The sequence below is a fragment of the Homo sapiens genome, chromosome 9 (genome assembly GCF_000001405.40).
Source record: "Homo sapiens chromosome 9, GRCh38.p14 Primary Assembly".
Classification (NCBI taxonomy): Eukaryota; Metazoa; Chordata; class Mammalia; order Primates; family Hominidae; genus Homo; species Homo sapiens.
The window spans coordinates 131,404,499-131,417,658 of NC_000009.12; the positions used below are offsets into that span (position 1 = coordinate 131,404,499).

Below are 13,160 nucleotides of genomic sequence, written 5' to 3' on the forward strand. Positions count from 1 at the left end.
GGCGTGAGCCACTGCACCCGGCCCCCAGTTGACTTTTTAAAAAGAAAATTCAAGTTGCTCAGGGAGGTATAAAGGCTCTTCCCCACTCTCTCTGAAAAAAAAACCAGTGTGAGGAAGTTCTTGGGATTCCTCCCAGAAAAAAACCCACATTATCCACATGCACGTTTGTATTCTTCAAGCATGCTGCTGCCCTTTCACGTGATAAAATGTCTCAGCGTGCTCCCTGACAGCTACGCAGACGGATTATGTTATCTATTTTAGCAACTGCAGAGAATATTTTGTGGGTATACTTGATTTAACCTCTGTCTCCTACTGGTGGACATTTGGGCTATTTGTAGTTTTGGAATATTACACAATTTTGGTCAAACTGTACCAGATTTGTTTTCAAAAACATACAATTTGTATGTAAGCATGTAAGTGTGAGAATGTGGTTCTGCAGTGTGGACTCTTCAACTGAATAGCTTTTTGGTAAGAATTCTGCCAGATTTCTCTTCAGAAAACTTTGTATCAGCTTATATGTGTGAGCGTATGTTTCTGGACTATGGGCTTTTCTAAATGAACAGGCTTTTTGGATTGTTTTGGGTGTGCACATTTTCCAATCAAAAGCTACTGTTTGCGGCTTTCTGTGGTGAGCGTAGGGTCTGATGTTTTGGTGAGCTTGGGCAGACAGCGATCAGACACAGCAGCTCCGTTCACAGTGCAGAAGCGGCCACTGGAGGAGTTGCTCTGGGTGTCTTGTTAGGTGAAGGCCACTGTGGGAGCTGGAAGGAGGCGATAGACACAGCCAGGTCTAAGGTTGATTTTCTGTATCAAGTAAAATGATTGTCCTTGCTGCCTGTTTTCTTCCAACTGTTATACACTGGAGCCTGGTGCATAAAATTCAGAGACGGCCTCCATTTTAAGTTTTCTCATAGCCCCGTCTTTCACAGTCCTTGGTGGTTTTGTTGCTGTTAATATTCATTGCTGTTGGCGCTTTTGCAGCTCCTGATAGTGGCTGTTGTGCATATCTCACTTCTCGACTCAACCTCTTGGCGTCACTTGCCACCCCTCCTGCCCCCCACTTTGGTTTAGTTCTTCCAGGAGATCACACCATTGGTTGAAGTGACTGCAGAAATGAAGCACTGGAATGCCTGGGTGGTGGTGTTTCATCAGGCTAGGCTGGCGGGGATTTGTGCTCTGGCAAGAGGAGGTGCGGTTTGGAATTACACTGCTCTGGCTCCTGGGGGGGTTATTGTTAGCTGGAATTCAGAGAGAGCTCGCTGGGAGAGTTGGGAATGCCATGCCCCCTCTTCCTGGTGGAGAGTAGCTCTCCCTTGCAGGCACAGTGCAGCACCCCACACTGGAAGCCCTGCTTTGGGGTCAGCTGCCTTCAAGTCCAGGTTCTACCACTTAGAAGCTGGGTGACCTGGGGCCAGCTTTTAAATCTTTTTGAATCTCCATTCTCTTCCTCTGCAAAATGTGATAGTAACACCTTCATAGGACCTGGGAAAGGATTCAGAGGGTCATGTGCTGCAGAGTTGATAGGGCACCTGGCACAAGACAGCAGGCTCTCCATAGACCGCAGCTATTAATGGTTCCTGGATTCAGCCCTCCCCGGGGGCCCGGGGGTTTGGAGCAGGCAGGCTTTTGTACACTTGGGGCTTGTTTGTTACCTAGGTGTTGGGGTTTCTAATTATGTGCTCAGCACTGTGCTACATGCTAAAGATTTGGACCCGTAGCGCATTGCCCTCACCTCCTGGAGCTCAGTCACCTTAACTAGCAAGGGCCTCCCATGGGCAGGTGCATCAGGGCTCTTCTGTACATCTCTCCACAATGAACACCACTGCGGATGTCTGTTCCCACGAGCAAGGGCGTTTGATAGCTGGCAGCTGCCCTGTGTCTAGTCTGTTGTGTTGTGTTCTTGGGGAGTTTCAGGTAAATGTCTTGGAAGGAATGAAGGTAGGCATGTTAAGGCAGTTTGTGGGTTCTGGCTGCAAGGGAGACTGCAGCTGGGCCAGCAACAGCCCTGACTTGACCTCAGGCCGACAGGAGTGTTCCTTTCAGCCACTTAGACCTACCTGCTATGAGGTCTTGAACAAATCATGTCTTTTGCTCCTTTAAGTCTCAGTTTTCTTATCTGCCCCAAATGGATACGGAACCTGTCTCACAGCATTGCTGCAAAGATTGGCGTAATTTCTGGGATGCAGTGTTAGTGCAGTGTAGGAAACCTAGTCAACTTGGAACAGTATATGGTGTTGATACTATGTTGCTCAGTTCACCGAGATCTTAAAAACAATGTAACAGTTACAATACAGGCGTGTCACAGTTACAATACAGCCTTGCTACAAACATCAAGCTCCAGAAGTGTATAGAGTAGAAAGTGAAAGTCATTCCTTCTTCCCTGCTGTTTCTTTATAATATCAAGAGAGGACTGCTGTCTTAACCAGTTGTTTTTAACTAAGGGGACTGTTTTAACTGTGCATATGAATTCTAAACCTGAAGTGACCACTGGAAGGTGGGAGGTGTGACTGTTTATAGGTAGACCTTAATATAAGCAAAGACATCTCATATGGCTCCTTAGTGTGGTCTCTTCAGCTTTTTGAGGGGAGAAAAGGCCATTGTAATTCTTTGCACACCCTGGATGAATCATAATGTTGTATTGGTAAAGTTCAGCAGTGGCATAGACTGGGTTTAATTAACAAGTGCTGCTTCCAAAGATCCCACAGCTTTACAATTTGCTGTTGACATGGTTGGAGGGTGGGGGAAGGGGAAAGGTGGGCATGCCCTTAGGGTAATGGGGCAGTGCAATACGGTTTTTTAGACGCTTCGGGGAGATGGTGGGTGGGGGAGGAGAGTTGTGAGTATAGAGTTTTGGGTGAGGTGAGGAGTCTGTGGGTAAGGTGTTTATAACGTGTGTAGTGTATTTGGAGTGAGGGTGCATGCTCCCTTTTCCCACCGTTCTGAAGTCACAGCTTGGCGTACCTGGGAATGCCCTTGGCGTAGTAATCCCTGGCCCTTATTTTGGATCTGTCCTTTATTCCTTTGTTACTTTAGAACTGGCTTCGCCGGCGATTGTCCTGGGTTTCCTCTAGTGTCTGAGGCTTGGAGGAGAAGTCATGCACGGCTTCTGGGGTCCAGTCCTTTGGCCTTTGCTGGAGATTATTTATACCAACCCAGCCCTTTTAGCTCCCACTTCAGTATTTTTGGATTTATTTATTTTCATCAAAGAGAAAGTTCCTTTGTCTCGGCTGAGTTGATGAACGTCTCTATAGCAGCAAACACCCGAGGGCGTGTGGCCCAGTTCTGAGAAGCTGTGGTAGAGTGAGGAGGGCACTGTGTGACCCTGGTTCTCACTTCACCTCTGAGCCTCTGTTCCCTTATCTGCAAATAGGGGGTGATAGTAAGGACAGCCACCTTAGTGGCGGTTAGGAGGATGCTCTCTGCAGCTGTAATGTTTATTCGGGCAGCCCGATGGAGTATTTCCTCACCGGGGTAACGGGAGGCATTGCATCCAGGTTGGAGTGGTTGCTGAGGAGTCCTTCGGTGCTTCTGGTGATAGTCATTGTTGGCCCTAATCCGCCTCCTGCAGCTGAACTGTGGGAGTGCCACAGCTAGAGGGGGTGGGAAGAAGAGGATGGGGTTGTTGTAAGTAGGCTGTGTTCTCTGCCTGTCTGGGCATTTGCTGCCGAAGGGCGTCTGACTCCCATGTAATTTACCTAATGAGAGGTCTCGGGCCTTGCTGGTTACTCTGTGCGGGGTTACAGGTCTCAACTCTTTTCTTTCTATGGACACAAACGAAAAATGTGCTTTGCAGAGATGCCAGGTTGTAAAGAAATATTGGCCCCAGCATGTAAAGATACATGTACTGGAGTGTTGGTTGTGGCATTATTTGTGGTGGGACATGTTCAGTTGGACATTTCCGTAGGGAAATGGGTAAATAAAATACGATGCCACTGTATAGTGGAATGCTGTGTAGGCATTAAAAAGAATGAGGTAGATCACTATGTGTATTTTTATCTTTTAATTTTTAAGTCTGAACTAAACAGAACTTATGTATATTTTTAGAAAGATGACCATGTATAGAAAGAGAAGAACCCAGGTTGAATAATACAGTAGCTTCCTGCATTTGTAGAGAAGACCATGACTGCTAATATGAATGTGTATAAGCCTGGAGGCTGTCCACCAGTTTGTTAACACTGTTTACCTTTTGAGTTGGATTGTTTTCTTGTGCACACATTAGTATCTTTTTTTTTTTTTTGAGACAGAGTTTTACTCTTGTTGCCCGGGCTGGAGTGCAAATGATATGATCTCGGCTCACTGCAGCCTCCGCCTCCTGGGTTGAAGTGATTCTCCTGCCTCAGCCTTCCGAGTAGCTGGGATTACAGGCATGTGCCACCACACCCAGCTAATTTTGTGTTTTCAGTAGAGACGAGGTTTCTCCATGTTGGTCAGGCTGGTCTCAAACTCCCAACCTCAGGTGATCCACCCCCCTCGGCCTCCCAAAGTGCTGGGATTACAGGCATGAGTCACTGCGCTCAGCCACTTTTTTTTTTTTTTTTCCTGAGATGGAGTTTTGCTCTTGTCGCCCAGGCTGGAGTGCAATGGCGCGATCTTGTCTCACTGCAACCTCCACCTCCTGAGTTCAAGCGATTCTCTTGCCTCAGCCTCCCAAGTAACTGAGATTACAGGCATGTGCCACGACGCCCGGCTAATTTTGTATTTTTAATAGAGATGGGGTTTCTCCATGTTGGTCAGGCTGGTCTCGAACTCCCGACCTCAGGTGATCTGCCCGTCTTGGCCTCCCAAAATGCTGGGATTACAGACGTGAGCCACCGCACCTTACAGGTGCCTGCCACCACGCCTGGCTAATTTTTGTATTTTTAGTAGAGACGGGATTTCACCATGTTGGTTGGCCAGGCTGGTCTCGAACGCCTGACCCCAGGTGATCTGCCCATCTCGGCCTCCCAAAGTGCTGGGATTATAGGTGTGAGCCACTGCTCCCTGGCCACATTAGTATCTTTTGAATTTGTCTTACTGAATGTGTATTAGTAACATGTATTGGTTACAAAGATAATAACAAAGGTAACTCGCATGCATTTCAGTACAGTGGAGCCTGTGGGGGCCGGGCTGGGCTGGGGCAGCTGCTGTGTTGGTGGCTCTTTTCCTGGTGCCAGATCAAACTTACCGTGAGGTAAGAGCTGCTCCAGGCTTCGTATTCCACGCAGACCCATCCAGTGCACCCTGGCTCCTGGTATTGGGCCCCAGTGGTTACTGTGAATTTAACTAGTTCAATCGTCTGTCTCTGTTGATGTGTCAGTGGCCCTCAGAAACTGCTTTGTTTATCTGGTTAGAAGGAACAATCCAATACAAATGCTGTCTCCGATTTCTCTTCTCTACTAAATCAGATTGTACAATAAAGAACATAGATTTTGGTTGCATTTGCAGAGTACTTCTCATTTGTTAATTCACCATTATTTGGAGGTGGAAAAGGAAGGAGTAACTGAAAGAAGCCCATGTATTTCATGTATTTCTTTTATTTGCCAGGTCCTTGTTAAATTTTGACGCCAGAGAGGGAGGCCTTTGTATAGCACATCTGTCCAACTGTTCATCACTCACCATATGTTGAAATCATCTTCTTCCCCACCCCCCTTGCTAAATTAACCGCATCTTCAAAGCGGGAGGTAGGCAGGAACTTGGAGACCGCATATGGGCTTTCCAGCCAGAGTCCTCTTCAGGCTTCAGCCCAAGCCTGCCTGCCTGTGAGCTAGATGAGGAGAGGGGCTCCAGGCAGACCCTGTGGGTGAGGAGCCCAGAGCTGGTGCAGACTCTGGGGGTGTGGGATGCTGTATTAGAGTAAAGATAACAGTGCCAGCGCCAGTTCACACCCCACCGCAGGCCAGGCCTGCACTTCACATTCACCTCAGGTCCCCAGGGGTGCTGGCAGGGCCAGGGAGTACCGTGGGCAGGTGGGGCCATTCTCTGGGGCCCACCGCATGGGCCTCCCAATCATGGCAGCAGGCGTCGTTCTTCCAGTGCCCAACACTGCCCAAGTAAGTCTGGATGTCACATCACCCCGGGTTCAGGTTCAGATTTTTTAGACTCACTAACTGGATGATAGTGACCTTGAACTAGTTATTTAACCTTGCGGAGCCTTCATGTCTATAAAATGGAAGTACTAATACCCTTCTCTGAGTGGTTTATCTATTTTGTTTCTTCGTTCAAGGAACTAATTTTATTCATTTTTTCTTTTCTTTTTTTCCTTGTGGACCTCACCTGACTGGAGGAGCTCCTATTCTTAAATGCAATTTTATGCAGATGTATTTATTACACTCCCTAGCTCTCTTTAGGCTTTTTCTTCATTGTTTCTGCTTTCCCTTACATTTGCTTGCATTGGTTTTTTTCTGATTTCTTAACTTGGATGCTTAATTTATATTTCATTTTTTTTCGTTAGGAATTTGGTTTTTAGGATATTTCCTCTGAGTACAGATTTATTTTTGCTTTGAAAGTTTTCTTACGGCCAGTAATCCCAGCACTCTGGGAGGCCGAGGAGGGCGGATCACCTAAGATCAAGAGTTGGAGACCAGCCTGGCCAACATGGTGAAACCCCATCTCTACTAAAAATAAAAAGAATTAGCTGGGGGTGGTGGCAGGCACCTGTAATCCCAGCTACTTGGGAGGCTGAGGCAGGAGAATCGCCTGAACCCGGGAGGTGGAGATTGCAGTGAGCCGAGATCACGCCACTGTACTCCAGCCTGGGTGACAGAGCGAGACTGTGTCGGCAGGGGAAGAAAGCTTTGTTATGCAGTGTTCTGTTTTTCATTTGTGCTATTTTCTTTTTTTTGTTTGTTTTTTTGTTTTGTTTTGTTTTTTGTTTTGTTTTTTTTTTTGAGACGGAGTCTTGCTCTGTTGCCCAGGCTGGAGTGCAGTGGCGCAATCTCGGCTCACTGCAAGCTCCACCTCCCGGGTTCACTCCATTCTCCTGCCTCAGCCTCCCGAGTAGCTGGGACTACAGGCGCCTGCCACCACGCCTGGCTAATTTTTTGTATTTTTAGTAGAGACAGGGTTTCACTGTGTTCAGGATGGTCTTGATCTCCTGACCTCGTGATCCGCCCGCCTCGGCCTTCCAAAGTGCTGAGATTACAGGCATGAGCCACTGCGCCTGGCCTCATTTGTACTATTTTCTAGATATTTTGCAGGTGTGGTTTTGAATTCCACTTAGATTCAAAACTTTTTTAGTAGAGAGTGTTAGGTTTTCCAGCTCTTGGGGTTATTATTTCTACTTTCATCATGTCTTGTTTTATTGCACTGTTGTCAGTTTTACTTTACAGAATTTGGGATTTTTCTTTTCTTTTTTCAGACAGAGTCTTGTTCTGTCACCCAGGGTGGAGTGCAGTGGCACAGTCACGGCTTACTGCAACCCCAAACTCCTGGATTCAAGGGAGTCTCCCAAGTAGCTGGGATCCAGGCATGTGCCACCACACCCAGCTAATTAATTTTTTTTTTTTTTTCTGTAGAGATGGCGTCTTGCTGTATTGCCCAGACTGATCTCAAATTCCTCACCTCAAGCGATCCTCTCACTTCGGACTCTCAGAGTGTGGGGATTACAGGTGTGAGCCACTGTACCTGGCCTGAATTTTTCTTAAAGTCTAATATAGTCACTTTTAGAACATGTTTGCTCATCTACGTTGACCGTCTCTATCTTGATGGGCTTGATCTACCAAGGTGGACAGGCTTCTGTTTGTTCTAATGTTTGTACTTTCATTGTGGGTGGTCCTCTTGGCCCTTTAAAACTACCCTGCTCTGCTGCTTGCTCTTTTGTGTCTGTCTCCTTTGATTCAACATTTTTTTTGTGCGTTTCATCTGTATAGTTGTGTATGTTTATTTGTTCTTATTGTAGGATGGTTTTTGGTTATGTGGATGTAATTATCCATGTGACAGACTGAGCTCATTTCCATAGTTCTTCCAAACAATGCTGCCACAGTGCGGGTATGTGCGTGCGTGCGTGCGTGCATGCACACGCTGTTGGGTATATACCTAGGTTTGGAGTTAACTGGGTCATGGGTGAGCATATGGTGGCTGCATGGGCAGCTGCCAGCTCTCAGTGATGGCACCAGGTACATGAGGGTCATCCTTGCTCTGCTGACGCTGTAAAGATGTTGCTTCTTTGCAAATTAACCGCTGGATTCCCTGTAATTCTAGTGAAAATCCCAGCAGCTTTTCTTTTGTTTTAGCTGTTTATTTCAGAAATTGACAAACTCATTCTGAAATTTATATGAAAATGCAAAAGGGCCAAGAATAATCAAAGCATTCTCTCTCTCTCTTTTTTTTTTTTTTTTGAGAAGGAGTTTTGCTGTTGCTCAGGCTGGAGTGCAGTGAGACGATTATAGGTCACTGCAGCCTAAAACTCCTGGGCTCAGGAGATCCTCCAGCCTCAGCCTCCCGAGTAGCTGGGATTATAGGTGTAAAAAGTAAAGTAGAGGTTTCATTTTAAAGATTTTCCTCTTCATCTAATTAGGAATAAATAGTAACTTCTTTTAGAAGCAAAATTTATTTAAAGACCTGTGCTAACATTCTTAAATATCTGCTAGCTGTAATAAATAAATTAATGTACTTTATATTCTTAGCTCCTACAATTTAGCCTGAATATTTGCCCTGGTATGCTTATACTGGTCCAAGCAAGCATTAGGTCATAGCCTGTTCCTTTTTCTTATTTGAAGGTGTTTTTACCTTTCTTAGCATTCCACAAGTTACTTTCTCCTTCCTTTGTTCTCCTCTGCCTTCGCCTCTTTTAAAAAGTTCTAAGTTCCTAGCCAATCGGGACAGATACAGAATGTGAGGTCCTGTTCCAGCCAATGGAAACTGAACGCAGTAGGGTGGACGCATCAGGTTGTAAATGACCCTGTCTCCTTTGTTCGGTGGCAAAACTGCTAGCGACTGTACCCTTTCTGCAGAAAGTATAAAAATGGCCTTGCTGAGGAAATTAAATTTACGTTCAAGTGCTATTTCTTTACAGCGTCAGGGAACAAGCATTTCAAACATAGGCATGCACCAACACACCCAGCTAATTTTTAGTGGAGACGTGCTCTCACTGTGTTGCCCAGGCTGGTCTCAAACTCCTGGCTTCAGAATCATCCTGCCTTGGCCTCCCAAAGTGCTGGGTTACAGGTGTGAGCCACCTCACCTGACTAATCAAAGCATTATTTTGTTTTTGAGATGGAGTTTTTGCTCTTGTTGCCTAGGCTGGAGTGCAGCGGTGCGATCTTGGCTCACTGCAACCTCTGCCTCCCAGGTTCAAGCGATTCTTCGGCCTCAGCCTCCCGAGTACCTGGGACTATAGGCGCACACCACCACGCCCAGCTAATTTTTGTATTTTTAGTAGAGATGGGGTTTCACCATGTTGGGCAGGATGGTCTTGATCTCCTGACCTCATGATCCACCCGCCTCGGCCTCCCAAAGTGCTGGGATTACAGGCGTAAGCCACCACGCCGGGCCTTAATCAAAGCATTCTTGAAGAAAAACAAAGCTGAAGGACATATCCTACCAAATATCCAGACTTTATAAAAGCTGCAGTGATTAAGACAATGCAGTGTTGCCAAAAAGATAGACAAATAGGCTGATTGGAGGGAACAGTCTTCAAACAAACTGCACATCAGTAGTCACTTAATTTATGACACATGACAAAGAGAAAAGATGGCCTTTTCAGAAAAGGTACTGGGAGAACTGAACTCTCCATAAGGGAAAAAAATGAAACTTTTATCACAAATCATATCGAGAAATCAGTGTTAGGTAGATCATAGATGTAAACATGAAAGATAAAACAATAAAGCCTCTAGAATAAAACATAGGATATCTTCATGATTTTGGAAAAATCGGACACAGAAAGCAGTAACCAAAGTAGAAAAATTTGATACATTAAACTGCATTAAAGTTTGTATCTTTTGCTTTTTACATTGCTCCAAGAAAATGCAATCAATACTAATTTGTAATTTCCTGGAAATGGTAGATAATCCATCCTGTTTGTTCCTCCAGAAGCCTCTATCCTGTTTTTACCAGGACTGTTGCCCCTCTGGCCCATGGTGCGGCTACCATCTTGGGCTTTTTTTTTTTTTGGAGATGGAGTCTCTGCTGTGTCGCCCAGACTGGAGTGTAGTGGCCTGATCTTGGCTCACTGCAACCTCTACCTCCCGGGTTCAAGTGATCTTCTGCCTCAGCCTCCCAAGTAGCTGGGACTACAGGTGCCTGCCACCACGCCCAACTGATTTTTGTATTTTTAGTAGAGATGGGGTTTCACCATATTGGCCAGGCTGGTCTTGAACTATTGACCTCAAGTGATCCACCCGCCTTGGCCTCCCAAAGTGCTGGGATTACAAGCATGAGCCACCGTGCCTGGCTGCTATCTCGGGCTTCTGTTGGTCGTCATTCTGGGACTTGTTTTTGTCCCTCCACACGTGGTCCTTATTTCCTGGATCCTATTTGTATTGGTTGGATAATTTGGACATAATGACAGCAACTGTCTTTTTTGTTTGTTTTTTTGAGTCGGAGTTTCACTCTGTTGCCCACGCCGGAGTACAGTGGCACAATCTCGGTTCACTGTAACCTCTGCCTCACAGGTTTAAGCGATTCTCCTGTTTTCAGCCTCCTGAGTAGCTGGGACTACAGGTGTGCGCCATCACGCCCAGCTAATTTTTGTATTTTTAGTAGAGACGGGGGTTTTACCATGTTGGTCAGGCTGGTCTTGAACTCCGGACCTCAGGTGATCCACCCGCCTTGGCCTCCCAAAGTGGTGGGATTTTCAGGCCTGGCCAACAGCAACTATCTTAATAAGAACGTTCATTGACTCAAGTAATTGCAAGTCCAGAAGTAGACAGGTTTGGGATTATTTGGGTGCACCCATTCTGAACCAGTCATTAGAACCGGAGCTGGGCTTCTCTTAGGCCAGGCCCCCGCTCCCCTGGGGCTGGGGCTGGGTCAGCCTCCCTCAGGCTCCATCAGGAAGGAGGAAGGGAGAATTAACTGCTGGGTAGGCAGACAGGAGTGGTCCCACTAATATTGCCAGTCCCTCGGTTTGCTCTCTTGTAAAAATCCTATTTTGAGTCCTTATGTAGGTCTGAAAAAGTCTTTTTCTGTCCCTACACTTGACTTGGTCAGCTGAGTATTGGATTCTAGATTGAAAGTCATTTCCTAGAGAGGATGGTGATACTGGTAAGAAGTCTCCATCATTGTTGCTCCTGAGAACTCATTGCCATTCTGATTGTTCCTCCCTGGGAACTTTTTTGCAAGAGGGATGACTTTTAGAAGCTTTTAGATTCTCAAACTGTATCCCTAACATGCTGAAATTTCACATTGTACTTTGTGTTCTTTTTATATCCATTGTTCTGAGCACTTGGTGGGCCTTTGAAGTCTCGGCTACTTGGCTACTTCAACTCTGGGAACTATTTTTGGCATTTTTTACTTGATAATTTCTTCCTCTCCTTCCCCCCACCCCACCCCCATGTTTCTGGAACTCCTAGTTAAATCTGGACTCCTGGGTTAATCCTTTGATTTTGGGGGTAGGATGTGACTAGCATTATCCCATCGCTCATTTTCTGAGATTTGTTTGGCTTGCTCTTCCACCTCTTCTTCGTTTTCTTTTCTTTCTTTTTTTTTTTTAAGACAGTGTCTTGCTCTGTTGCCCAGGCTGGAGTGCAGTGGCGCCATCTCGGCTCACTGCAACTTCTGCCTCCCAGGTTCAAGTGATTCTTCTGCCTCAGCCTCCTGAGTAGCTGGGATTACAGGCGCATGCCACCACGCCTGACTAATTTTTGTATCTTTAGTAGGGATGGGGTTTCACTATATTGGCCAGGCTGGTCTCGAACCCCTGACCTCATGATCTGCCGCCTCGGCCTCCCAAAGTGTTGGGATTAACAGGTGTGAGCCACTGCGCCTGGCCTCTTCTACCTCTTCTAATTGGATTATTTTACTTTAGAATAGTTTAGCTGTACAGAAAAGTTGGAGTTCCCATATAGCCTACTCCCAGTTTGCCCCCATTAAACACATCTTATGTTAGTACAGTATATTTGTCACAACTAATGAACCAGTATTGATACATTATTATTGACTAAAGTTTATGCTTTATTCAGATGTTCTTAGCTTGTACCCAGTGTCTTTTTTTTTTCCGTTCTAGGATGCCACATTAAATTTAATCATGTCCCCATAGTTTCCACTAGGTTGTGACAATTAAGTTTTTGATGACCATGACAGTTTTGAGGCATACCGATCAGATATTTGGTAGAATGTTCCTCGATTTGGGATTTGTCGGATGCTTTCTTCATGATTATCCTGAGGTTATGGGGTTTGGGCTATAACATGCTTAATTGTAACTAGGGTGATTCTTGTTTTCTAGTTATTTTTTAAGGGGGAAAAAAAGTTTATTTCATGGGTGTGGTATCTTCTCTTGATTTTATGAGGATATTAATTTTATAATACATATTTTTAATCTTTGATCTCTGGCACTGTCTGTTTCCTCTGTTATTTTGTCTATTTATTTGGTGTCTGTCTTTTAGTTGGTCATCTCTCAGATACCTGTGGTCTCGGGCACACAGCTGATTGGAAACTGCATGGACTCTTCAGAGTGGGTGCCTGGATGGGAGGCTGGCCTTTTCATTTCTTGAATCCCATGTTGGTGTATATAGGTTTTCTTTCTCTGGGGCTGGTTTTTCAAGAGAAGACTCCCTTGTCTTTGCCTGAGGAGTGGAGGGTGGTGTGGTGTTTGTCTGCTGCCCTCCTGTGAGGAGCAGCAGAAGTGGGGGGCCTGAAGCTTCTGAGGTTTGCCACTCAGGTTCTCTCTTCACTTTTTTGGGGGGTCTCCTTTCCCCACCCCTTCCCCCTCTGACCCTGGTGTTCTCAAGTCTAGACTTCTCTTGTTTAATGTATCCAGTGGGGGAGGGAAGGGGCCGTAGGTGTCTAGCTGTTGCACTTGCAGCCTTCAGCCAGTCCCCCCACATCTGAGTTCCCACCTTCCCCTTTCATGCAAGGTGCCTGCCACCTCCTACGACCTCCTGAGCCTTCTGATATCCTGGGTGAAGGGAGGTTTTCCCCTCTGCAGTCCTCATGTTGTGGCATCTTTCAGTCTGTGAAATCTGTTCATACTTTTGCCCCCTCCTTGCCAAAACTGTCCCTGTTGTTTGGGTTCTTCGCTGTTT

The 13,160-nt window shown here is 45.9% G+C and overlaps 1 protein-coding gene across 5 annotated transcripts in view, besides 3 other annotated features; it reads left to right on the plus strand.

The window, feature by feature from the left end:
* PRRC2B (proline rich coiled-coil 2B) overlaps positions 1 to 13,160 on the plus strand; it is a 126,543-nt gene that overhangs the window by 30,848 nt on the left and 82,535 nt on the right. The gene's annotated exons all lie outside the window — the stretch shown is intronic.
* Positions 3,244 to 3,363: a silencer, noted in NCBI's record as "silent region_20416". NCBI's record gives its function as "represses an Ori minimal core promoter by ATAC-STARR-seq in GM12878 lymphoblastoid cells {active_cell/tissue: GM12878}" and the evidence as "EXISTENCE:reporter gene assay evidence [ECO:0000049][PMID:35858748]".
* Positions 4,367 to 4,867: an enhancer, noted in NCBI's record as "H3K4me1 hESC enhancer chr9:134284252-134284752 (GRCh37/hg19 assembly coordinates)". NCBI's record gives its function as "activates a minimal SCP1, AML or CMV promoter by ChIP-STARR-seq in primed H9 embryonic stem cells {active_cell/tissue: H9 hESC(primed)}" and the evidence as "EXISTENCE:reporter gene assay evidence [ECO:0000049][PMID:30033119]".
* Positions 12,838 to 12,887: an enhancer, noted in NCBI's record as "active region_29189". NCBI's record gives its function as "activates an Ori minimal core promoter by ATAC-STARR-seq in GM12878 lymphoblastoid cells {active_cell/tissue: GM12878}" and the evidence as "EXISTENCE:reporter gene assay evidence [ECO:0000049][PMID:35858748]".